The sequence below is a fragment of the Homo sapiens genome, chromosome X, assembly GCF_000001405.40.
Source record: "Homo sapiens chromosome X, GRCh38.p14 Primary Assembly".
NCBI lineage: Eukaryota > Metazoa > Chordata > Mammalia > Primates > Hominidae > Homo > Homo sapiens.
This window is the reverse complement of record NC_000023.11, coordinates 149,514,445-149,539,755: the sequence shown is the minus strand read 5'-3', so window position 1 is coordinate 149,539,755 and position 25,311 is coordinate 149,514,445. Positions and strand designations below refer to the sequence as shown.

At 48.0% G+C, this 25,311-nt stretch overlaps 1 long non-coding RNA gene and 1 pseudogene across 1 annotated transcript, besides 5 other annotated features; one reads left to right on the top strand and one right to left on the bottom strand.

Annotated features, from left to right (window-relative positions):
• The first annotated feature begins 3 nt into the window (after positions 1-3).
• On the top strand, positions 4-12,165 carry EOLA1-DT (EOLA1 divergent transcript). Its single transcript, NR_027455.5, has 10 exons — positions 4-55; positions 850-1,032; positions 1,584-1,641; positions 1,978-2,123; positions 3,501-3,582; positions 5,382-6,126; positions 6,701-6,874; positions 10,163-10,243; positions 10,328-10,389; positions 11,398-12,165. It is a non-coding gene; the product is annotated as an EOLA1 divergent transcript (long non-coding RNA).
• Positions 514-593: a silencer, noted in NCBI's record as "silent region_21041". NCBI's record gives its function as "represses an Ori minimal core promoter by ATAC-STARR-seq in GM12878 lymphoblastoid cells {active_cell/tissue: GM12878}" and the evidence as "EXISTENCE:reporter gene assay evidence [ECO:0000049][PMID:35858748]".
• Positions 10,902-13,282: a meiotic recombination region, noted in NCBI's record as "meiotic double-strand break mapped by DNA meiotic recombinase 1 chromatin immunoprecipitation followed by single-stranded DNA enrichment and sequencing in the germ cells of some male individuals with PRDM9 A/A, PRDM9 A/B and PRDM9 A/C genotypes". NCBI's record gives the evidence for it as "EXISTENCE:chromatin immunoprecipitation-seq evidence [ECO:0000229][PMID:25395542]".
• Positions 10,902-13,591: a biological region, named in NCBI's record as "IDSP1 recombination region". NCBI's record gives its function as "recombination_partner: LOC106050102".
• Positions 11,997-13,591: a non allelic homologous recombination region, noted in NCBI's record as "sub-region b', recombines with sub-region b within the IDSP1 recombination region". NCBI's record gives the evidence for it as "EXISTENCE:nucleotide sequencing assay evidence [ECO:0000219][PMID:9801874]".
• Positions 12,011-13,075: a non allelic homologous recombination region, noted in NCBI's record as "sub-region a', recombines with either sub-region a1 or a2 within the IDSP1 recombination region". NCBI's record gives the evidence for it as "EXISTENCE:nucleotide sequencing assay evidence [ECO:0000219][PMID:9097969]".
• IDSP1 (iduronate 2-sulfatase pseudogene 1) lies at positions 13,339-14,756 on the bottom strand (annotated as a pseudogene).

Sequence of the window (25,311 nt, the reverse complement as noted above, 5' to 3'; positions counted from 1 at the left end):
GGGGCTGCGGGAAATTGCTGGAGAAGGGGGAGCCAAGCTGGAGTAAGGCTGGCGGGTGAGAATGGTGGGGGAGGAGCTAGTGCAGAGCTGGAGGAAAGAGCTGAAAGGTGCTGGGGTGGGCAGAGGGGTAGGAGAAGCGGGACGGGGCTAGAGGAGGCGGAGCTGGGACTGGAGATGCAGGGTGAGCAGGGTGGGGCTGCAGCAGGAACTGGGTTAGAGCTTCTGGAGGAGCCGCCTGCAAGAGGAGGGCGTAGTTGTGGGAAAGAGCTGTGGGTGGAACTGGTTAAGTGCTGGGAGGAGGAAGAGCTGGGGGCGGAACAGCTGGGGCGGAGCTGCCGGAGGAGGAGCTGGGGGTGGAGATGCTGGTGAAATGAAGCAGAGCCGAACTGGGGGTGGAGCTGTGGGTGGAGCTGGGGGAGGGAGCTGAGGCCCTTCTGTGATGCACCCTTAGGCAAGAGTCAAAACTTGCCCGCAGCGACCTAACTGCACCTCCAGTGTCTACCCCCATAGGGCACGGAAGCAGCAAGAAGGGCGGGAACACTTGACTGGGGTCTATGCAGCTCTAGGCTGAGTCTTGCAGGGCTGAGCCCCCCAGGCCTGCTCTCCTGTGTCCTAGCCGCTCTGTCAGTGCCTGCCAGTGGGGTCCGGAGGAACCGTCTCTTTAACGTCTCTTTTGCAGGTGATGAGAAACATCCCCACTCTTAATGTCTTGCCTCCTCCGACCTAAGTCGCCCAGCACACAGCCCAACTTCCCTGGCAAACTTGCTTTTCAAACTCTCTTCTCTCAGTCACGGGCTCAGGTTCTGTAGTGCTGCCATGCTTTACTCCTCTGTCCCTCCCCTTATCTAGTCTCCCGCATTGACTTCATAACCAAGTTCTGGGTCCCTGCCTCTGGAGTGCCTGATGAGACAAAACGGCTCCTCGTCCTGCATCCCCGCTGCTACTTCCAGAATTCAGGCCTCGTGGTCTGGAGCCTGCACTGTTCCATGAGCCTCCTGAGCAACCTGGAGTCCTCTGTCTTTCTTCCCTCAGGTCTGTCGTCCACATTCCATCGGCTCAGTTTCTAAGTCACAAATCTGTCCCCAGCAATCCTCTAGTGAAAACGCTGCTGGGCCTTCTCAGGTTTAAGTCCTAGCAGTTCAGGGAGTCGGCTCAGCTCTCCCCACCCTTAAGCCAAACACTCTTTGGGTTCACGCTGTGCTGTTCAGTCACTGGTCCCCACCAGCCTGCTGTTCCAGGTCTCCCTGCTTTGCACCGGCGGTTCCCATGGCCTTGTCCTGGTGCGCTCCTGGCCTCCTTCAAGGCACAACTTTAAAGTCACCTTCACAGCCCCACTCCGAGTATTAGAGACTTTCGTCTCCAGCTCTGATAGCATTTTGTACCTCCCCCGTCCCCACCCCACGTTAGGCTCTTGCAACCCAGGGTGGTAATTGCTCTGTAAGACTTGTGGCTGCCGCAGGGTCTCTTGAGTTCCTTGAAGGCAAGGCCGGTGTTTTACTCATTTCTGAAACTGGGTGCCCAGGGCACAGTATCTGCTTAGTAAGTGTTGAATGAGCAAAGGGCTGCTTTCTTGTTTTTTCTAGTGAGATGCGCCTACTTCTCCCTGGAGAAGCTCGAGGAAGCAGGAATGCTGGAGATGAGGTGAGGAGGAGAGGGTCCCTCTTTATGGGATGTAGGCCGTAGGGCTGCAGGGGACCTTCAGATCACCAGTTCCAATTCCTATGCATGCTAGCATCCCCTCCTGGGTTCCTTCCCCACAAGAATGGTTGCCAGCTTCTGCCGAACACCCCAGAACCTGCTTAGAGTGGTTTCAAATCATGAATGAGGATCCCCGGGATGGTGGGTGGCCGTTGCTCCTCCCGTGGCCTCTTGTTTGAAGAACTAGAACTCGCATAATGAGCTGGATAGCCACCGTGTGGCTGCTAGCAGGGAAGCCCTTGGTGGCCACATAAGGGCTCCCTTTTCCAACTCTCTCAGCTGCTCCTCACTCTCACTCCTGGGTGTGCTGGGCAGTGGGGTGCAATGTGCACGTAGGTGCACACTCTCCCTGGGCGGCAGCGAGAAGCAGAGGTCTGATCTGTGGTCGGATGAGGAGAGGAAGTGCAAGTAAAGCAGCTGCAGCGGTGAGTGGGCCTAGGAAGAATGGCATCAACAGGCCAGGCAGGGATGCGGGTGGTGTTCGGCTAACCCTGAGAAAGGGACCAGAATGCACCTGAGTCTTGATTTTCATTCCCAATAGCAGGTCAGCACGAAACCCAAAAACGCTCTGATTTCTGCCTTCCATGCTACACTCTCTTCACCTGCTGCCTTCTCACTCCTCTCATTAACAATGTCCTGGCAGGAACAAGACTTTCCCCTCCCTCTCTTCTCGTCTCTTAGCAGGTCAGGTCGGCCTTCACCTCCCTAGACCCGTCCTGCTCCTGCCTTCCCCTGTGGGGCCCTCCATGGATGCTCTGGAGTCCCGGGCAATAGTCAGCCAACTGCAGACATGCGGGGCCTTCTTGGGTTCCTTGCTGTGCTCCCTTGAAACCACTGTGCCTGGCTGCACCCCAGTAGCACACACTGAACTGACCCCCACTCCTGGGGCCAGCGGTGTGTCTCCTCAAGTTCTGCTTGCTTCTTCAGGCCTTGCTTGCATGCCTATCGTGCCACACATCATATCTCTTTTAGGAAGTCCTTGCCTTTTCCAAAGATCCTGCTTTGCAGCTGACTGTACCCTCTGCCTGCCTCCCCCAGGATACTGCCTCCTTCCTGAAACCACAGCCCCCGCTCAGGTCTTCCTTCCTTCCTCATCACCAGGGAGCCCCCTGCAGAGCTCCCAGTCCATCCCGGTGGCCTTCTGAGCCTCACCTCCCCTTCCTTCCCCTCCCATCCCTTCCCCTCCCCTCCCCTTCCCTCTCCCCGCTTCCCTTCCCTACCCTACCCTGCCCCCCCACCCCCTGCCCCCAACCCTGCCCTCTCCTGCTCTGTCCTCTCCCTCCATGGCAGGCTAGCCTCCCTGGCTAGAGCTGTCCCTTGCGAATTTGCCATCACCTTGCCTCTCCGTGCTCAGCATCCCCGGCTGTGCAGTCCTTCTCTTCTGCCCACATGCTCCCCTAGAGAAGCATTCTTTTTGCTCAGCCTAATTTCCGTGCAACTCCTCCTGTTTTCTGAGCCTGTCACCGCCTTCCTCTTCCTTTGCCTCCCCACTGACACTTTCCAGAGTGCAGCCACCTCTCCTCACTGTGCTTTTTTGACTCTGAGGCCCAGGAGGAAGTTGCCCTTCTCTGGAGATGGTTCACATTTGATCCTGCCTAGTGTTCCGGGGCACGGCCAGTCTGGGACCGCTTTGACCCTGATTCATGGTTTCCCTTCAGATGCTTTTTGGTCAGCCTGCTTTCCTCGTCTAGGAAATGGCTTTTGCTCATTTTTCTATTGAGTCACTTGCCTTGTTGATATGGAGTTGTAGGAGCTCTTTCTGAATTCTGCCTCTAACCCCATGTTGGCTTTTTGTATTTCAGAGACCTCGTCTGCTCAGGGGCTTGTTCTTACATCTTTTGCAGGGCTGTTTTGAAGTCAGTATTCACTTAAGCACTCCAAATTGTAAGTAACCCCAGAGGTCATGGAGTGTCCCACTGCCCCTCCATCTGGAGGCAGTGACCCCTCTCCCACAGAGGAGGTGCTCGCATGTGTCCAGTGCCCTGCCCATTAGATTAGAGAGGGTTCCCTTTTTTGCTCTCTTGCATTCATTTGTCCGCCTTTTAGCTTTACTTTTCTGCCCTGGACTCACACAGGGTCATGTGAACGTGTGGTGTAGCAGGAGGAGAGAGGTAAAGTGGAGGAATAGGAGCTGGAAGGGAGGAGGAGGGAAGAAAAAAGGAGGGGGAGGGGGAGGAGAGGGAGTGGGTTGGAGGAGGGAAGGAGGAGGAGAAGGAGAGGAGGAGGAGATGAGACCAAGGACAAGAGGTGAAGGAAGAGAGGAGGACACAGAAAAGAGAAGAAAGAGGAGAGGAGGAGACGGAGAAGAGGAGGAGGAGCAGCAAAGAAGGAAGAAGAGGAAGAGGACTAGAAGAGCAAGTAAGGAGGAGGAGGGGGGAGTAGGAGGAGAGGAGAAGGACAGAAGGAGAAGGAGAGGCAGATGAGGAGAGGAGGTCGAGGAGAGGAGGAAATGAGAAAGAGGAGGAGAAAAGGAGAGGAGAGGGATGAGGGGGGAGGAGGAAGAGAAAACAGGAGAAGGAGAAGAGGAGGAGTGAGAGAAAAGAGGAGGAGAGGAGGGGGGAGGACGGGGAGGAAGGGAGAAGGAGAGAAATAGGAGGGAGGAAAGGAGAGGTGTAGGAGGAGGAGGACAGGACGAGAGGAGGAGCAGAGGAGGAGGAGAAGGAGAGGAAGGGGAGGAGATTTGGAGGAAGAGGAGAGGTGGAGGAAGAAAGGAGAAGGCGGAGAAGAGGAGAAAGCAGAGAGGAGGAGGCTGAAGAAAGGAGGACCAGGAGGAGAGGAGGAGGAGGAAAGGAGGAAGAGGAAGAGTGGAATAAGAGGAGCAGAGGAAAAGGAGGAGGGGGTGGGGGAGGAGTGGAGAGGAGAGGAGGAGGAACAGAGTTGGAGGAGGTGGAAGAGAGAAGAGAAGGAGGAGAGGAAGAGAGAAGGAAATGAGAAGGAGAAAAGTAGGAAGAAGAGAGAAGAGGAGAGAGAGAGGAGAGGATGAGGAGGAGGAGAGGAGAAGGAGAGCAGGAGGTGGGAGGAGGAGGAGAGTAAGAGGAGGAAATGAGGAGGAAGAAGAAAGAAGGACAGCAGATGGAGAGGAGGAAGAGAGAATTAGGAGAGGAGGAAGAGGGGAGGAGAGGAGGAGAAGGAAACGAGGAGGAGGACGAAGCTGCATCACCCTTATCAGGTTCCAGTTCTCGGTGCGCCCCGTTCTGCAAGACACTCTCCTGTGGTCAGCCCTGGCCTGCAGAGGATTCCCGCGCTGGATCTCTGAAGGATGCTGGCGCCCTCTCTGCAGCACATTCCTGATGCCCTTGCTGACACATGTGTCCTCTGGGTCCTCTCCTGAAACCTGATCCTCCGGGGTGTCTTCTGGCCTCACCTCTTCTGTCCAGTTCCAGCAAGCTCACTTTGCTTAGCCTTTGAATCCCTTCCTTCACTGTCTGCTGTGACAATTCGGGCCTTTCACTGTCACTCAGGCCTGGACCATCACTGTTGCCCATCCCATGCCATCAACAGGTTTGCCCCATCCCTTCGGCTCCCTACCAGGGCATTCAGTTGTGTTGAGCAGCAGAGTGCCTCCAAGTCCCCACTGGTTGAGCTGCATCCGGGTCCCATCCCACAGGGACCCCCCCTGGCCGCTGCAGGTGCATGCTGATCCTGCAGCTCCTCGAGGGTGTCATCGCTTTCCCCCTTCCCAGACCCAGCACACCCTGCCTGCATGGCGCTGCGCTGCACCTTCACTCTGGTCACGGGTCTGGCAGTCGGCTCACCAATTCGTCCTGCTTCCCTGGGACTCGCCGGCTTTTAGCACTGCAATTCACTCAGCAAACTGGGACTGTTGGTCACCCTACCTGGCAGCCAGTGATAAGGTGAGGGCCACTCCTGGGAGGGAGGACACCTGTGGGGAAAATTCTTGTGTTATTTATTTCTCCTTCGGGATAGGGTGCCTGCAGCGCTTCATGGGAGGGGGTGGGCTGATGCTGCGGGCTCAGAAGTTTCAAGGGCATCTGGGGAGACCAGATATTCAGAGACCTTCTCCTAGATGTGCCTGTTCCATGTATCAGGGACACAGGTTTTCCCAACAGGGCTGGTGTCATTGGCATGACAGACCTGCCTTGGCTGAGCGTTCACCCGTCTTCGGAGTTCAGCCACCTTAGCAAGTCCTGGGTTTGTTCTTCAGATTTTGCTGCTCGCCCATTGCCTGGATCGGGGGCTACTTTGTAAACCACCAGGAAGACTCCAGTGTTTCTGCTTAATTTTTAGATGTTTGTTAATTGCTCTTGGCCTCTCATTAATCCCCTGTGGGTCATCCAGGAAATATACTCACCACTGTCTGTTCTCTGAGTTTTCATTTCCAGGCATCCGCCCTGCCTGGATCTCCTCACCTGCCAGGAACTTCCTCTCCACAAGCCGGCCATCCCAGCAAAAGTTCTAACACCAAAGGTCTGGCAACTAGCCTGCCATCTTGTGCCTGGAGCCGCCTGCGTGCCACCTACTCCCGAAGATGGGAACCTTGTTGCCAGTTGGGCAGATGCGGGGCAATCCTGTACCAAGACCCCATTTTACCACCTGCTTTCTCAGACCACTCTGGAACCCACTGTCTCAGATTGTGTCCTCCAGGAAGCAGACCATGAGAGGGAGTTGGCAGGGCCAAAGATTTACTGGGGCTAACTAACACTCAGGAAAGGGATAGGAAGGAAACAGGGCTGGAGAGCAGGTTGAGCCCGACCTGACAGTCTCGAGCAGCCCAACAGGGAGGTGTGGAGCAAGGGTTGCCCACTAGAGGGGCCTGCATTGGGTACGGGTGATGGGGTCCACATGGTACCTGGCATATAGCAGGCTGTGCAATCCATATTAACTGACTGGATAAATTAATGCTCAGAAAAGGTGCCCTGGAGAATGGGTGCGTGCTGAACACAATAGGGAAGGGCCCAGCATCTGCCTTGGCATAGGCAGAACTGTGCTGTGCCCTGCAACAGGCCACCTGAGAGCTGCTTTGATCTTGTGTGTACATTAGATGACTGCCAGGGGCATGAAGGGGATGTGCTTCCAGGGCATTTGCTGGCAGGGCGTCTCGTGATCTCTTGGTATTGGTGTGAGCACAGCCTGGCAGGAGAGGGCAGATCTCCATGCAAAGTATGTCAGAAAGCAGATGGAAGCCAGGCCCCCTCCTGAAAGAGGCTCCTTGAAGGTAGGTGCACACTCATGTCTTTGTTACTTGTAAGGGGGCATCTTACAGGCAAGAGGAGTTAGGTGAATGTGAAGAGGAAGGAACTGCTCACTCTGGGCAGGGGGCTGGGGGAGGCTTCGTAGAGGAGGGGGTGTTTGAGCTGGGCCTTGAAGGTCAAAAGGGTTTTGTTAGGTGGGAAATGGGGGAAGGACAGCCTGAAAGGGTTAGGTACATTCGAGGAGCCCAGAGAAGGTTCGTGGCTGGAGCAGACGCATTCGTAGAGTGAAGTCATGGGAGAAGAGGCTGGGAAACTAGATTGGTTCCAACTCCTAAAGGACCACTGAAGGAGTGTGGGCTGCACGCTGGGTGCAGCAGGTGAGTTTCCTCACTTGGGTTTCACTGTCAGCATTTTTAAAAGGCAAACTGGTTCTCTTCCTGAGAAGAATTCATTGATTCACTCGTGGCCAGTAAGTCATCTGACAAACCCTTGTGTACTTCTGATGGGATAGGAGTGTTTGTAGACAACAGGCACACAAATATAACATGCAGCCCAGTGCAGCTCAGGAGCAGCCTTCCATGGATAAGCGGTTGGTACCTACAGTGTGCTCCTGTCCTTGCTAATCTGAACACATAGGTAGTAACCTTAAGCATGTCTCAATCTTCTGACTTGTGATGAGGTTTCCAATTCTTGTTCCTGACTTTAGAATGAAGTTTGGAGAGTTGTCATTAGGTCTCTAGGTTCTGAGGATTACTGTGGGGTAGGCAGAGGGAGAGAAGAGTGTTGGGGCCAGATGTTCCTGTGCTTCTACCAGAAAGTTGATTTGCCCAGTGTACCACCCTCACTTGGCAGGCCTGAGCAGAGTGGCCTGCCACTGACAACCCAGAGAAAGAAGGTACAGTGCAGGCTTGCCCTGGTGGGCTCTTGGATGCCCTAAGCTGCAGCATCCAGGGCCAGGTGGGATTTGGTAGGATAGGCCCCCCGTCTACTGTGTCTGATCATACTGCCTTTGAAAGAGAAGGGTGGGTGGTGAAGACAAGACGATGAGACAGGGTGGCCTCTGCATGTTGTAGCACCCAACTGGAACATTTGCAGATGATACTTGGAAAAAGCTTTAGGAAAGAGGCCCACTTCATTTATGAAATGACACCAGCTAATGTTTGACCTTAGTCATATGTTCCTTGGTTCCTCATTTTGCCATCTGCTGGCTGACTCATACAGCTTCACTTTTAATTAAAGGTGGGCTGTGATGAGAGTCATGATCAGTGAGTGGCTTCCATGGCAGAAAGTTCTGTGTAGTTCTTGGGGGATGTGAGTGTAAGTTTGAGGTGCTAAGACGAATATGTCCATACATTGTAAACTATTTCCTCTGTCCTTTCCCTCCTCTAACCATTCCTGCCTTCTTCATCTTTCTAACTTTCCCAAGGCATTTTACATCAGATTTCAGATATAGAACAATGGATGTTAAAACAAACCCAAATTCCTAATGCTTGGTACCATGAAAACATGGCAACACTGTTTGCATTTTCTTTACAAATGGCCTGTATGGGTCAGCCCAGGCATTGACATAGGAGCCCATTGTTTGCATCCTCTGGGTCCTTGTAGTTCATATGCTGGAGCAATGCATAGAGACACACAGAAAGGCTGAGAATGGCCATGAGGTATGTAACAATGAGGCCCAGAGCCTGAGCTTTGGTGTCTAGCAGACCTGGGTTTGAATGTTAGCTCTTTGTCTTCCTGTGTGACCTTGTTGGTTACTCGTCTCTCTGTGTCTCCTCCACTCCTATAAACCAGGAGGTACAAATGCCACTCATGTCACAGGGCTGTTGCTGGGACATACCCTTGCACCTTGTGTTGTCTCTTTCTGGGACTCAGGTTCTCAAGATTTGCTTCTACATTTACAGGTTGGAGATTATTCCAGCAACACTGATGAAAGATTTTTTTTTTTTTTTGGTCTCTCAGCTTTGCAAATTTCAGAGATTTCCAACAGTGTTCAAGGGACTGCAATGTGATCTTGGAAAAATCCTGTATGTTCTTTGAATAATCTCAGTTGTGCTATCTAGAAAATGAACTGGTTAGTCTAGAACATGGTTTTCAAACCTATGTGGCCATGGAATGTCATTTTGGAGGGATGCTTTCACAGGATGTAAGATTCTGAGTTGAAAGTTTTTTTTTTTTTTTTGAGACAGAGTCTCACTCTGTGGCCCAGGCTGTAGTGCAATGGGGCAATCTCTGCTCACTGCAACCTTTGCCTCCTGAGTTCAAGCAATTCTCCTGCCTCAGCCTCCCAAGTAGCTGGGATTACAGGTGCATGCATGCCACCACGCATGGCTAATTTTTGTATTTTTAGTAGAGACAGGGTTTCACCATGTTGGTCAGTCTGGTCTTGAACTCCTCACCTCAGGTGATCCGCCTGCCTTGGCCTCCCAAAGTGCTGGGATTACAGGTGTGAGCCGCTGCACCCAGGTGAAAGCTATTTTCTGTAAGCCCTTGAAAAAAGTTGTGCCACTTCCTTTTGGTATCCATGGTTTGGTAAGGTGTCATTTCTCTCGCATTGCTTCCAAGATTTTTTTTTTTTTTTAATGATTATCATTATTATTATTATTTTAAAGACAGGGTCTCCCTTCATTGCCCTGGCTGCAGAGCAGCATTGCAATCATAGCTGACTGTAACCTTGAACTTTTGGGCTCAAGCAATCCTCCCACCTCAGCCTCCCAGGTAGCTAGGGCTACAGATATGAGCTACCATGCTCAGTTAATTTTTTTTTGTTTTTATTTAATAGTTCTCAGAAGTTTAACTCAAGTGTTTTAGTGTGGAATTTCTTTGGATTTATTCTCTTTGGGATTCGTTCAGCTTCTGAAGTCTGCAGAGTTATGTCTTTTGTCAAATTTGGGAAATTTTCAGCCATTGCTTCTTTGATTTTTCAGCCCCACACTTTTTCCCATCTCCCCTGGAACCCTTATGACACAGATGTGAGATCATTGTTCATAGTCCCACAGGTCCCTAAAGCTCTGTCCATCTTGTTTTCCCATGCATTTTCTATTCATTTTTCAGAATGGGAAATTTCTGTTCTGTCTTCAAGTTCACTGGTTCTTTCCTCTGTTCTGTCTATTCTGCCAGTGATTCCTTTATAGAGTTTTTAAAATTTCAGTTATGGTATTTTTCAGTTCTAAAATTTCCATTTGGTTCTTCATTATGTCTTCTATTTATTTATTTTTTTTTTGGCTGAGACTTTCTATTTTTAGTTTGTTTCAAATGCGTTCTTAATTGCTTAATGAAGCATATAATGGTGGCTTTCAATTTTTTTACAGATAATTCTAACATCTTTGTCATCAGTGTTGACATCTCTTGATTGTATCCTGTCATTCCATTTGAGATCTTCCTGGTTCTGGGTATGATGTGTAACTTTTGATTGAAATCTAGAGATTTTCATATTATGTTAGTAGGTTGAAGGTGTTATTTAAACTTTGTTTTAGCTGGCATCCTCTGACATCACTCCAGCAGAAGAAAGGGAAGGAACACGCTGCATTACTGCGTGGTGAGTGCAGTAGTCTACCTTCGCCACATGGCCTCCATTGATCCCTGAAATGGGTGAGGGGCTCCTTGTTTCTGCTGGGCAGGAGTGGACTTTTTGGATCTGATCTGGGGCTGTACTCATACCTTTGTGGCTGGGAGGGTTCGATATTTTTCAGCACTGTATCCAATATCACCTGCACAGACACCTTAGGGGATGGGGACTTGCTGTTGCCTGGCAGGGATGAAAGTGCCAGCTCCCTAATTGGCCACCTCCGACAGCACCAAGGTAGACAGGAGGGATGTTACAGCTTAGCAAGCATGTTACACTGAGCCCCCTAGTTGGCCTTTGCTGGCATGTGTGGAAGTGGGGATCAAACTATATTTCTGTGGTGTTAACTAGAGTAAAGCAGCTCACTGTCTAAAAGTTTTCTATCTTGCTAAGTCACAACTTTCCTGGTCCTCTGGCTTTGGTCCTTCTTTCCTCCCTCCCTTCCCGTCCCCCTTTCCTCCCTCTTTTCCTTCATTCCTTCTTTCTTCTTTCCTCTGTGTTTGTTGACATTTCTAGATCCCAGCTCCTTCAGCTCCATGTCTGGTATATATGGGCAAAGAAAGAAAAGAGAGAGGGAGAAAGAGGACGGGAGAGAAAGGGAGGAAGGGGAAAGGAGAGGAGAGGGAAAGAAAGAGGGTAGAGAGAGAGGGAGGGAGGAAGGGGAAAGGAGAGGAGAGGAGAGGGAAAGAGAGAGAGGAGGAGAGGGAGAGAGAGAGAGAGAGAGGAAGGGAGGAAGGGGAGAGGAGAGGGAAAGAGAGGAGGAGAGGGAAAGAGAGGAGGAGAGGGAGAGAGGGAGAGAGAGGAAGGGAGGAAGGGGAAAGGAGAGGAGAGGGAGAGAGAGAGGAAGAGAGGGAAGGGGAAAGAGAGGAAAAGAAAGAGAAAAAGAGAGGGGAAGGGAGGAATGGGAAAGGAGAGGAGAGGGAAAGAAAGAAAGAGAGAGAGACACACACCAGAGAACTAATTAACTCCATTGTTCCTCAGGTCACAAGGTCCCCGTCTGATCTGCCTTCACTCCACCTTTCAGAGTCTTATGTTTGTTTTGTGTATATTATCAAGGGGTTTTAGGTCACTTAGTCGGAAGAATAGGGAAAAGTATGTCTACTCCAGCTTAATGGAAGTGGAATTCTCCTGAGAACCTTTTTTTGATACAAAATATGTACTTGTGCATATTTTGTATCAAAATATATAATGTACATGTCCCTTTTGTACATGTATATAAATTGTATATAAATATTTAGGGTTATAAAAATAACCAAAGACACCAAAAACTGCCACAGGTGGATTTGAGAAGATGTGGAAATGCCTCACTGCTAAGACATGCTCATTCTTGACAGGCTGGGAACCCTGAATGCTGTAGTGTCACCACTGCCCTGTCCTGTACCTACCTATCTTTTCACTCATTTCCTCCAAGCTCAGGTTTTCAGTTTGGGGTATGTGCCACCTAACAGTGAGCTGTGGAACTGCAGCACAATCATCAAATTCAAAAAAGGCAAGGACATCTTGCTCAGTTTTTAAGATACGCCATAGATGGAGTAAACCATAACCTTTGATTCCAGATCCTTAACCCTGATTAAAAACAACACAACCCTTCATGTTGATTTAAAACATCCCTTGCAAAAGATGGTTTGAATATTCCAAGTTGGAAATACCCAGTCTTTTAAAGTTACAGCACCCTTTTTGATACAAAAAATGTGCATGACAGAAATTGTACAGTGAGTAGTGTTATAAAAATAACCAAACACACCAAAAGCTGCCACGGGTAAATTTGAGAAAGTGTTGAAATGTACCGCACAGCATGAGACCTTGCTGGCTCCGTCTAATAGATGACGCTGGGGCTGCAAATGATGTCCCAGCCTTCCAGGGCCTGTGGTCTCCAGAACAGGGCTGAAACCTGTTCTGAGTTGACAGTGCTTTCCCAAGGAGACCCCAAGTTGAGAGGACCCTCTTACCCACTCATCAATAATCAAAGCAGACTTGATGCCCATCAGAGATGCCCAATGATTCTGGTGAGCCGTTCCTCCCTCTGGCTGTCAGTACTGGGGAGTATGGTGGGGACTTTCAGATAGCTCAGTGAAGCTCAGAAAGAGAGGGAGTTCCCCCTGACACCCGCCCCAGTCAGTAAGCCCCGGGGCCTGAGGGGCATCCCCACTGCTCGACCTCTCCACTCTCTCGGGGAGGACGAGGCAGCCTTGACCCACGAGGGCTGATGAATGGGTAGGTTATCGGCAGGCTCCTAGGCCACCAGCTTAGAGGTCACATTGTCCCTTTTAGATTCAGTGTGGCGGGAATCTAAAAGGTCGAGGATCGAGAAGCCTGCAGGATGGCAACGTGAGGGACCCCGGCAGTGCGACCTCAGGAATCCACTCCCGGAACTCTGACTGGGGTGCCTGTGGAGGCTCTGAAGGTACAGCAGCCAGGCGCTCTGTGGCATTCTGAATACTGGCACGCAGCCTTCGGCCTCTGCCAGCTTTTGTGAGCTGCCCTGCACCAGGCAGAGGGGGCCCCCAGGCCTGGCACAGGGTCTGACACATGGCAAATGCTACAGAAATAGCTGTGGACCGCCTGACTGCAAGATCGTATTGAACATCTGGTGCCGGGCCTCAGCCTGTGCTGCTGCAGCCAGGAGCAAATACGGGGAAGTCTGGCTAAGGAGAACGCATGCCTGTGTGGGCCCCAAGGATCCATCTTGAGATCAGGAGGAACAAGAGCCCAGTGACCTTGACAGCCAGCTCAGGCAGCCTGTTAAATCCCATGCCCAGAGGTTTCTAGCTTCTGCCCCAGAGGCCCAAGATGAGGATGTGGCAGCACAGGTAGGCCAAGGGAAGGATGAACTCAAAGAGAGGTGGCCAGACCACCTGAGACACCTGTTGAAGTGCGCTTTCCCATTCCCAGACCTGGGAGCTTCTGAGACCAGGTGCAGAAACCAGATTACACTCATCTTTCTGACCTAATTCACAGAGTGGATAGCAGCCCCCACCTAAGCACAGCCCCCTCACTGGGCAATAAGTCAGCAACAGCAATGCTGGCCACACGGGAGGCCCTCAGGTGTCCTCACCCCACCCCTAGGTTTACTGACAGGTACCCTGCAGGGGAGAGGGTGGGGCCCTGAGCTGGACTCCACCCAACACTGCCACCTCCCCAGCCTGTGTCCTCCCTACCACCCGAGGAGCTGAAGGACCCAACAGCACACCCTCAGTGGTTTCTGAAAGGAAGCAAAGTTCTTTCTACCCTTTTTCACTTTGGGTGAAAACATGTGGCTGGGTTGACAAGTCGGTTTTTTAGAAAGGAAGCACTGACTAGCGAAGGACTCGCCCAGCCAGAAGAGGGCTCTGCAAAGACAGCCCCATCCCCAGGATGGGAATGCTGGATTCAGACACCACAAACCAAGAGAACCCAGACTCTGGACGTGGAGCAGTACCAGGGTGAAAGACTTTTCCCACCGACATGGTCACATAGCCATTCTCCTTGAAGTACTGGGGGATGGTGGAGAAGTTTCCAGCGTGCACCCTCCAGTAGGAGTTGAAGTCGTACAGGCGGGTGGTGTCAGGTCTCCTGCCAGTGAGGAAAGAAACGCGGCTCGGGGCGCACACTGCTTGCTGTTAGGGAGCAGAAGCAGAGGTAAGCATCGCCACAGCAAAACATGTCTGCCATCTCTTAGGTAACCAAGCAACCGCCCTCCCGAGGCCCCTAGCAAACAGCTTGGTAGCTGAGTCATGCAGAGCTCAAACCAGACACTGGGATTTGGGTGTCACCTAGGCAACAGACTGCTTCCGGGAGAGAAAAGGGAAGCAATCAGCCCCTGAAACCAGCAGTTGCTTATCTCCTCCTACGCAATGGCCTCCCCAGGCACACAGAGCGGCCAGTGTTGCTGGGGGCAGAGCCATGAGGGGGTCCAGGGAGCAGAGCCACCCTGGCTAGCTCTCACCTGAGGCCCAGTCTGCAGACCTGTGGGTGCCCTTCTGCAGCACCCCTTCCTTCTGAGCACCAGGCAAGCGCCCGTTCTGGGAGAAAGCTGGCCAGGGCTGCCATGAACACATCAGGGCCAGGGCGCACCTTGCACCCAAGGAGAAGGCCACCCTTGAAGGTCAAGCTTTCCCATGAGTGGAAAACCAGATTTTCTCCACTACCATTTTCCAGACTATGCTTCCCTCTAACAAGATGTCCCGCACAATCTGTGCCATCTGACAGTAGCTGAAGCTCCCCGCCCCCAACCCTCAGTGCACGAAGCAGCACACACCCACAGCTAGAGGTTCCCAGACATACCTGCGCAAAGGCATTCTGGAAGAGGAGGCTGTGGGATGCCAGTTGGTCAATGTTTGGGGCCTTCACTAGTTCATCCCTGCAACTTGAAAGGATAGGACATGTGCTTTGGAAAATAACACCTGTAGCCAGCCACAGTGGCTCATGCCTGTAATCCCAGCACTTTGGGAGGCTGAGGCAGGTGGATCACTTGAGATCAGGAGTTCGAGGCCAGCCTGATCAACATGGAGAAACCCCATCTCTACTAAAAATACAAAATTAGCTGGGTGTGGTGGTGCATGCCTGTAATCCCAGCTACTCAAGAGGCTGAGGCAGGAGAACCGCTTGAACCCGGGAGGTGGAGGTTGTGGTGAGCCGAGACTGCGCCATTGCACTCCAGCCTGGGCAACAAGAGTGAAACTCCATTTCAAAAAGAAAAAAAAAGAAAAAAAAAGAAACCACCTGTAATAGAGTGAGGGAAGTAGAATTGGGAGGAAAGTGGAGTTGTTTTATGACAGTTGAATCAGACGTCTCAGTCAGTCCCTGAGGGAGCTCTATGGTTGGGAAGATTCTATAGAGATGTTGCAAGTAGAGGCTGGAGTCCAGGTGTTGGTACTCTCCACCCTTCATTGACCCCTTGACTGATATTTGGAGAGAGACTTAGTTATGTGCCATCATCAAGCAACACCTTTGGCAGGCAGTGGAATGATGACCTCCACCATTAGGCTGGGCTGTGGAACGACCACAGCATTGACTACAGCCCATGCCTTGCAGGCCTCAGATGGGCTTGCTTCACACAGGATGCTCCCCTCATTTGGGAATAACTTCTCCAGGGTTTGGCTTGGCCCTTTTCCTAGGGAGGTGAACATGAGGCAGGGTAGTGGGACGGTGTATGGCCTGCATGACTGCAGCTGGCTTTGAAGCCACAACTGATGCTCATGGTCTTCTTCATCTACTATCCATTCTAGAGTACCCTCAGTCTCAGCCACCATGTCTGCCGTTCTCAGTGACCTGGCTGGTCGAGTAACAGACCTTTATCCCTGAGGATTGTTTCTGAGCCCATGGTCCCCGTGCCCTTCTCAGACTGTGGAAATTGCATGTGTCCATTTACCATAAAAATTGGGCAGGGAATTATTAGGAGACATTCAAATGGATCACCTGGGTGCCAAATATATCCTTCTCTGTTCACAGTGTGTAAGAACAACCCTGCCTCCTCCTGATGATCAGAGCCAATACCCCTGACAGAGTGGCTACTCTTCTTTACACCTGCTTAGTCCCACAGCCATAGCAGGAGGAATGAACCCAAGGTTCCCATGACTTGTAATTCAGTTATCAGCCATGGCTCGTAATTCAGTGGGGCTCCTACTGTGTCTACTGGTGGAAGCATTTCCATTTGAATAGCCAGGATCCACTGTTCAATAAGGTAGCCACTAGCTGCATGTGCCTACTGAGTACTTGAAATGTACCTGGTGTGTCTGAAGAACTGAATTTTAATTATCTAAAATTCAGATAAAATAACAACTAATTTTATCTTAATTTAAATTTAAATAGATGAATTTGGCTAGTGGTGACTGTATTGTGGGGACAGGAAGCACAAATTCCCATGTGGATCACTAGGAGAGATAATAAGTGGGGTCATTTCACCCCTTGGTCCCCTGCTTCCAGACCCAAAGAGGCCTACATGGCATTGTGCTTCCTTCTTAGTTGTAGGAGGTGTGAGATACAATCATTTGCCTCTGACTTTGGAGGGTTGGTCCTAGCATGCCCCTGACCAGTAGCCCCTTAAATACTTCATTGATATGGAAGGTCTCTGAATCTTCGTGGGCTTAATCTACCACTCTCTGAAGTGCTTATGTCTTTCAAAGGCCTCTAAAATCTCTGCCATGTCTTGCTCATCCAGTTGTTAGCATGATGTCATTGATACAGTGGACTTTGGAATCTAAGTGGGGAGACACTGGTAAGTGACCAATTACTTCACCTGTGGTGTGCAAGCCAGATCAGGAAGCCTCTACCATTGCTTTCCTGTGCTGGGAAAGCTATTTTTAGTGTGTAGACTTCATGCCAGATTTGCCCAGATCAGGGGCGGGATGCCCAGAGCTCCTGGTTATTGGAAGTGCTCTACCTTGAGTACAGAAATCCACACCAACTCACTCCCTTCTCCAAGGGGACCCTCACCCTGAGGAATTTAACTGGGCCTTGCTAACATGCTGGGAGAATGTCCCTGAGAAAAAGAGCAGTGAAGGCGCACATGAATTTCCTGTTGCATACCCACAGTGGGCCAGAAACAAGACCATTGGATTTTTACCTCGTACTTTTGATGTTTGGCAGCCATTGATTCTAGTTCGGGGGTGAAAGATAGAGATGACACATGTATTGGAACCTTTCTTGGGGACTGCTAGTCTTAGGGACAAACTGCCAAAATCAAGCTAGGCAATGGTGGCCACAGCTATGGGATGGAGAGTGAGGAATAGGACATATAAGCTGACAGCTGGAGGCCCAGACACTGCCCATGTTAGTGTGGTTGGGGACAAAATAAGGAACCAGAGTGGGTGGAACAGGAGCAGTTCAGGGACTCTGCAGAAATAACCTATGGCTCCTCAGAGATCTTACAAGGGAAGCTTCCCTTGAGCACCTAGATGTCAAAGAGATTGGCAGAGGCAGGAAGGACATGTTCCCAAGCAAAAAGTAACAGCAGCTAACTTTGATTTCATGGAAGGTGCGAGTCCAGCTGTGAGTCAGAATAGGGAGACAGGCAGTGAACAGAGGACAGAATGATGACCTGCAGTGCTGAGAAACAGGCCTATCCATGACTTTGTCCTCAGTCCCTGACCCAGGGGAACACCAAGGATGCCATGGGGTGCAGGGAGGGCCAGAAGAGCTAAGTACCCAATTTCTACATAAGGGCCCCTGCTCCAGGACAGGGCCGGGAGAAGACATATAGATGATACCTACCCCCAGTCCTCCAACAAACACATCTGCCTCAAAACTGACATATTCTCAGCTGGTGGAAGCATCCAGGAAAGATAACACATAGCTCCATGTGCAGCTGTGGTGCCTGTGGGGCACTGGGGGTTATACCACCGAACAGAGCTTGGACAGTGTCCCCAGCTCCTATTCTTTTTGAAACTGTGTTAAAATATATATCATATAAAAGTCACCGTCTTAACCATTTTTAAATGTCCAGTTTGGTGGCATTCAGTACCTTCACATAATTGTACAATCATTGCCCCACTAGCCCCTATTCTTTTTAAAAACATTCAACTTATATAAATATTTTAGATTTAGGGGGTACATGTGTGGGTTTGTTATAAGGGTGTATTGCATGATGCTGAGGTTTGGGGCTCGATTGAACCTGTCACCCAGGTAGTGAGCATAGTACCTAATAGGTAGTTTTTTAACCCACATCCTTCCTCCCTCTCGTCTCTTGCGGTTCCCAGTGTCTGTTGTTCCCGTCTTTATGTCCATGTGTACCCAATGTTTAGCTCCGACTTACAAGCAAGAACATGTGGTATCTGATCCTGCGTTAATTTGCTTAGGATAACGGCCTCCAGCTCCATCCGTGTTGCTGCAAAGGACATGATATCATCTTTTTATGGCTGTGAAGTACTGGTGATACAGATGCACCACATTTTCTTTATCCAGTCCACCGGTGATGGAAGCTTAGGTTGATTTCATCTCTTTGCTATTGTGAATAGTGCTACAATGAACACACCAGTCCATGTGTCTTTTTGGTAGAACAATTTATTTTCTTTTGGATATATATCCAGCAATGGGATTGCTGAGTTAAATGGTAGTTCTGTTTTAAGTTCTTTGAGAAATCTCCAAACTGCTTTTCACAGTGGCTGCACTAATTTACACTCCCACCAACAGTATATAAGTGTTTTCTTTTCTCCACAGCCTCACCAGCATCTGCTGTTTTTTGACTTTTTAATAATAGCCATTCTAACTGGTGTGAGATGGTATCTCATTGTGGTTTTGATCTGCATTTCTCAGATGTGATGTTGAGCATTTTATCATGTTTGTTGGCGCTTGTATGTCGTCTTTTGAGAAGCGTCTGTTCATGTCCTTTGCCTGGTTTTTAATGGGGTTGTTTTTAGCTTGTTGATTTTAGTTCCTTGTAGATTCTGGATATTAGACATTTTTGGATGCATACTTTGTAAGTATTTTCTCTTGTTCTGTAGGTTGTCTGCTTACTCTGTTGACAGTTTCTTTTGCTGTGCAGAAACTCTTTAGTTTAACTAGGTCCCACTTGCCAATTTTTGTTTGTGTTGCAATTGCTTTTGAGGACTTAGTCATGAATTCTCTGCCAATGCTGATGTCCAGAATTTTCTTCTAGGATTTTTGTAGTTTTAGGTCTTACATTTAAATCTTTAATCCATCTTGAGTTAATTTTTGTATAAGGTGATAGGTAAGGGTCCAGTTTCATTCTTCTGCATATGGTTAGCCAGTTTTCCCAGAACCATTTATTGAGTAGTAATTCCTTTCATTATTGCTTATTTTTGTTGACTTTGTCGAAGACTTTGTTGTAGGTGTGCTTCATTATTCCTGGGCTCTCTATTCTGTTCTATTGGTGTGTGTGTCTGTTTTTGTACTCGTACTATGCTGTTTTGGTTACTGTAGGCTTGTAGTATCGCGTGAAGTTGGATAATGTGTTGCTTCTGGCTTTATTCTTTTTGCTTAGGATTCTTTTGGCTATTTGGACTTTTTTTTTTCTTTTGGTTCCATACAAATTTTAGGCTAGTTTTATCTAATTCTGTGAAAAATGACATTGGTATTTTGATAGGAATAATTTTGAATCTGTAGAATGTGGATATATGCATATTTTAATAATACTGATTCTTCCAATCTATGAGCATGGAATGATTTTTCATTTGTTTAAGTCATCTATAGTTTCTTTCAGCACTGTTTTGGAGTTCTCCTTGGAGAGATCTTTTACCTCCTTGGTTAGATGTGTTCCTAGGTATTTTAATTTTTTGCAGCTATTATAAATGGAATTGTGTTCGTGATTTGGCTCCCAGCTCGAACATTTTTGGTGTATAAAAATGCTACTGATTTTTATACATTGATTTTGTATGCTGAAACTTCACTGAAATCATTTTCAGTTCTAGGTGACTTTTGGCTGAGTCTTTAAGGTTTTCTAGGCATAGAATCATCTCATCAACAAAGAGAGACAATTTGACTTCTTCTTTTCCTCTTTTTTTTTTTTTTTGAGATGGAGTCTCGCTCTCTCGCCCAGGCTAGAGTGCAGTGGTGCGATCTTGGCTCACTGCAACCTCTGCCTCCCAGGTTCAAGCAATTCTCCTGCCTCAGCCTCCAGAGTAGCTGGGATTACAGGTGCCCGCCACCACGCCCAGCTGATTTTTTGTATTTTTAGTAGAGATGGGATTTCGCCATGTTGGCTGGGGTGATCACGAACTCCTGATCTCAGGTGATCCGCCCACCTCGGCCTCCCAAAGTGCTGGGATTACAGGCATGAGTCACTGCGCCTGGCCCTTCCAGCCCTTCTTTTCCTAATTAGATGCCTTTTATTTCTTTATCTTGCCTGATTGCTGGCTAGGACTACCAGTACTATGTTGAATAGGAGTGGTGAGAGTGGGCGTCCTTGTCTTGTTCCAGTTCTTAAGGGGAATGCTTTCAGCTTTTGCCCATCATGAAGAGATGTTAGATTTTTATCAAAAGTTTTTTCTGCATCTGGTGAGATGATAATGATTTTTGCTTTTACTTCTGTTTATGTGGTGAATCACAGTTATTGATTCATGTATGTGGAACCAATCTTGCATCCCAGGAATAAAGCCTACTTGATTATGCACAATTAACTTTTCGATGTGCTGCTGAATTCAGTTTGCTAGTATTTTTTTTTTGAGGATATTTGTGTCTATGTTCATCAGGGATATTGGCTTGTAGTTTTCTTTTTCTTTTTCTTTTTCTTTTCTTTTCTTTTTCTTTGAGACAGAGTCTTACTCTGTCGCCCAGGCTGGAGTGCAGTGGCGCAAGGTGCAATCTTGGTTCACTGCAACCTCTGCATCCTGGTTTCAGGTGATTATCATGCCTCAGCCTCCCAAGTAGCTGGGATTACAGGCATGAGCCATTGTGCCAGGCCTTCTTTTTTTTTCTTGTCATGACTTTGCCAGATTTTGGTATCAGGATGATGCTGGTTTTGTAGAATGAGTTAAAGAGGAGTCTCTCTCAGTTTTTTGGAATAGTTTTAGTAGGATGAATACCAGCTCTGTTTTATGGATGTCTGGTAGAATTTGGCTGTGAATCCATTTGGTCCAGGACTTTTTTTGTTGGTAGGTGTTTTTCTTTTTTGTTTGTTTGGTTTGTTTGTTTTGTGACAGGGTCTCGCTTTGTCACGCAGGCTGGAGTACAGTGGTGCAAATTCAGCTTACTGCAACCTCTGACCCACAGGCTCAAGCCATCCTCCCACTTCAGCCTCCTTAGTAGCTGGGACTACAGGTGTACACCACAACGCCTGGCTATTTTTTTTTTTTTTGTCTTTTTAGTAGAGACAGGGTCTCACTATGTTGCCCAGGCTGGTCATGAACTCCGGAGCTCAAGTTATCTGCCCGCCTCGGCCTCCCAAAGTGCTAAGATTACAGGCGTGAGTCATTGTGCCCAGTCTTGTTGGCAGGTTTTTTTGCATTGCTAATTCAATTTTAGAACTTGTTATGGTCTGTGTAGGCTTTTAATTTCTTCCTGATTTAATCTTGTGAGGTTGTGTTTTTCTAGGAATTTATCCATTTCCTCTGTTCCTAGGAATTTATCCATTTCCTCTGTTTCTAGGAATGTATCCATTTCCTCTAGATTTCCTAGTTTGTGTTCATCGAGGTGTTCTTAATAATCTCTGAACAGCTGGGCACGGTGGCTCATGCCTGTAATCCCAGCACTTTGCAACACTGAGGCAGGTGGATTGCTTGAGTTTGAGACCAGCCTGCGCAACATAGTGAGACCCTGTCTCTATTGAAAAAAAAAAAAAAAGAATAGTCTCTGAGGATCTTTTGTATTTCTGTGGGTTATAATGTCACCTTTGCTATGTCTGATTGTACTTATTTGAATCTTTTCTTTTTTTTGTTTGTTAATCTAGCTGGCAGACTATTAATCTTGTTTATCTTTTCAAATAATTAACTTTTTGTTTCATTGATTCTTTGTCTGGATTTTGAGCCTCAATTACATTTAGTTCTGTTCTGATTTTAGTTATTTCTTTCCTTCTAGCTTTGGGGTTAATTTGTTCTTGTTTTTCTAGTTCATCTAGCTGCAATATTAGATTGTTAATTTGAGATCTTTCTATTTTCTTGATGTAAGCATTTAGTGCTATAAACGTTCCTCTTAACACTGCTTTTGCTGCATCCCAAAGATTTTGGTATATTGTATCTCTGTTTTCATTTATTTAAAGTAATTTTTTTGATTTCTGCTTTAATTTTGTTTTTTACACAAAAGTCATTCAGGAGCAAGTTTGGTTTCCAGGTAATTGTGTGGTTTTGAGAGTTTCTCTTGGTGTTGATTTCTATTTTTGTTTCACTGTGGTCCAAGAACCTGCTTCATATGATTTCAGTTTTTTTGAATGTATTGGGACTTGCTTTATGGCTGATCACGTGATCAATCTTAGAGTATGTACAGATGAAAAAAATAGATATTCTATGGTTGTTGGATAGAGTATTCTGTAGATGTCTATTAGATCCAATTGTTTGTGTCAAATTTCAGTCCAGAATTTCTTTGTTAGTTTTCTGCCTCAATGATCTGTCCAATGCTGTCAGTGAGGTGTTGAACTCCTCCACTATTATTGTGTAGCTGTGTAAATCTTTTTGTAGGTCCAGAAGTACTTGTTTTACGAATCTGTGTGCTCTATGTTGGGTTCATATGTATTTAGGATAGTTAAGTCTTCTTGAATTGAACCATTTATCATTATATAACGCCCTTCTTTGTCCTTTTTTTACTGTTGTTGGTTTAAAGTCTGTTTTATCTAATATTAGAATAACAACCCTGGCTGTTTTTTTGTTTTCTGTTTGTGTGATAGATCTTTCTTCATCCCTTTACTTTGAGCCTATGTAGCCCCTATTTTTTAGGATAAAACACCTAAGATAGAAGAGGCTATCTTTTTCTGGAGGTTACAAAGCTGTACTTGTGGGAGGACTGTTGGAGGGTCACACATGAAGACTTGATCTGGTTGTTTTACTGTGTATTCTCCCCCAACATGTTCCTCTTACTTTTATCCTGAATATCATGCCTCCAGCCCCCACTATGACAAAAACAAAGATTGAAGGAAACTGCTGACCTAACACCAAAAGTCTCTGATGCCTGCTCTTGAAACTGCTCCTGCAAGAGACTAGATAAGCCCGGACCTCGGGGAAGCAGGGAGAGGTGGGAGAGAAGTGACTTGGCCAGGAGAAAGAAAAGGGTCTAAAGGTTAAGGAATTTTTGGAATGGGAAGGAGAACTAGAGCTTGACATGGCATGTATTAGGGGCCAAGTGGGATAGACTCCAAGGACAAGCTTCAACACTTCTGCCTGTCCCTAGCTGTCTCCTGCCCTGTAGGCACCTGCTGTTTGGACACTTACAAGCCCACTTAAGAAAATGGTGGAGGACTCAGATATCACCCCCTGTTTGACGGATACATGGGTAAAACAGAATCGGCAGAGTACTTTACCTATGAGCGGGGAAGAGGGGTCCAAGTGTCACTGTTACACTTCCCTGTTCTTGGCTTCCTCCCACCACTTCCCACTTTAGAACCCACAGGGCCAATTCTTGTAGTCAAATGATTATTTGTTTCCATATCTTTCTGCAAAGGGTAAGGCCAGAACTTGGTTAAAGGATATATTTGCTTCATGCTGTGTCTCGCCAAACATCTCTCTTTTATCACCACAGCCTTTATGTGGCTGCAAGAAGAATTTGGCTCCTGTGTCTGAGCCTGTCCTGGGAGTTGGGAGACATGGGCTCTCAGCACAGCTCTGCTGTGGAAACTGCCTGGGAGATGTAGGCTCCCAATTTGTTGGGAGTGTGTGTGAGTATAGGTGTGTGTGTGAGTCTGTGTGGAGGTAGAGGAGGGATGGTCCCTGGGACTGAGTTTCTAGGCTTCTCTAAGTCTTTGTCAGGTTCTTTAGCAACTTGCCTCCTACCATCTCCATGAAAGGAAGTGGTCACTCTGACAGATGAGATAAAATCATCCTCATGATGGAAAGAGAGTAAATGGAAGAGGGGCTCTGCTTTGATGGAGGTGCCTGCTTTTATGCTACCCCATGACCCAAACCTGGCACCATCAGTTCAAGTCCACTGAGGGATTGCTGGCAAGGGAGCTTTAGAGATTTTGGTAAACTATGAGATTTCGTCCTATAAAGGAAAGGGGTGTGTGTGTGTGTGTGTGTGTGTGTGTGTGTGTGTGTGTGTGAGAGAGAGAGAGAGAGAGAAAGAGAAAGCTACCCAGATAAAGATAGTCAGGCTGCTGTCCTCCACAGGGGAAGCAGGGCAGGAAGCACAGACTTTGTAGTTATAAACCTGGAATTGACCCCTGGCTCCATCACTCAATGGATGTGTGACTCTGAGAAAGTCACTATACCTCTCTGAGTTATAATTACCTCATCCAGAAGATGGGTACAATATTAACCACCTACCTGCAGGAGTAATGAAACTTCTCAGTCTGTCTCCTGGGAGATGAGATTCCTGTGGGAGCGATCTGTAAACTATAAAGCACAGTATTACTAATAGTGGTGAAGATACATTTCTGTTTTCCCAGGAATGACCTTTGAATAAGCGTGTGGGGATGCTGGCCTGAGCCTCAAAGCCTGTAGATGGGAAATGGGCAGATAGTGAAAAGCCTCCAGCTTGGGGAGAAGGAAGAAGAGCCGTGAGACCATAGGTTTCCAGTCCTGAAGGTCCTACAGGATATGGCCTGTTTGGGGACTTAGATTCCATCCATGGGTTATAACCAAATATGTGTAGTGGCTCCAGGCCAATAGGGAGGCAGTGAGAGTTCTGACTTGGGTAAACTGACAGGTTTGAAAATTGAAGGCTATTTCAGTACCAGGAATCTGTAAGGCGGGAAGCCTCTTTTTTGATCTGTGTGGAAATTGATGCCTAGGGCAATACATACCCATGATCTGTTATTCACAAAACCCTAATCCATAAAGCTCTGGCAAGGCTTTTTCATAAGCCTGCTCTAAATTCTCTTGCTAGTAAAACCTAAAATGGATGATACGAAACTGTTTATAAAATACTGAATTTTCTTCATTTATCATATTTTGTATTAATATTCATACATCTCACTGCTTAAATGTCAATGTGTTGGCTAGACTCTGAGAGGTGCTACTTACTGATCTGTACACTTCATCCCCTTTCTGGATTCTGAAAATTATCTGTGCATATGTGATACTAACACCAGTAAGAGCCACCATTTGTTGAGGCCTTGCAGAGGGCTAGAGTTCCTGGATATGTGCTTTTTCTCCAGCCTTGACCTCATGAGGACGCCCTTCCCAGGACAGGTGAGACTGAGGCCCTGCCCCGGGTCAACCTGGATGGCTGGATATTCCACCCTCTGACCAAATTGCACCAAGTGGGTGAAATCTCATTTAGTTCCATCCACGGTTTTCCTTGGAGGAAATTGGCTGAACATAGGGCTAAAAAAATAGGAAGAGCCCTTGGCAAGCATGTGTGTACACCAGTCAT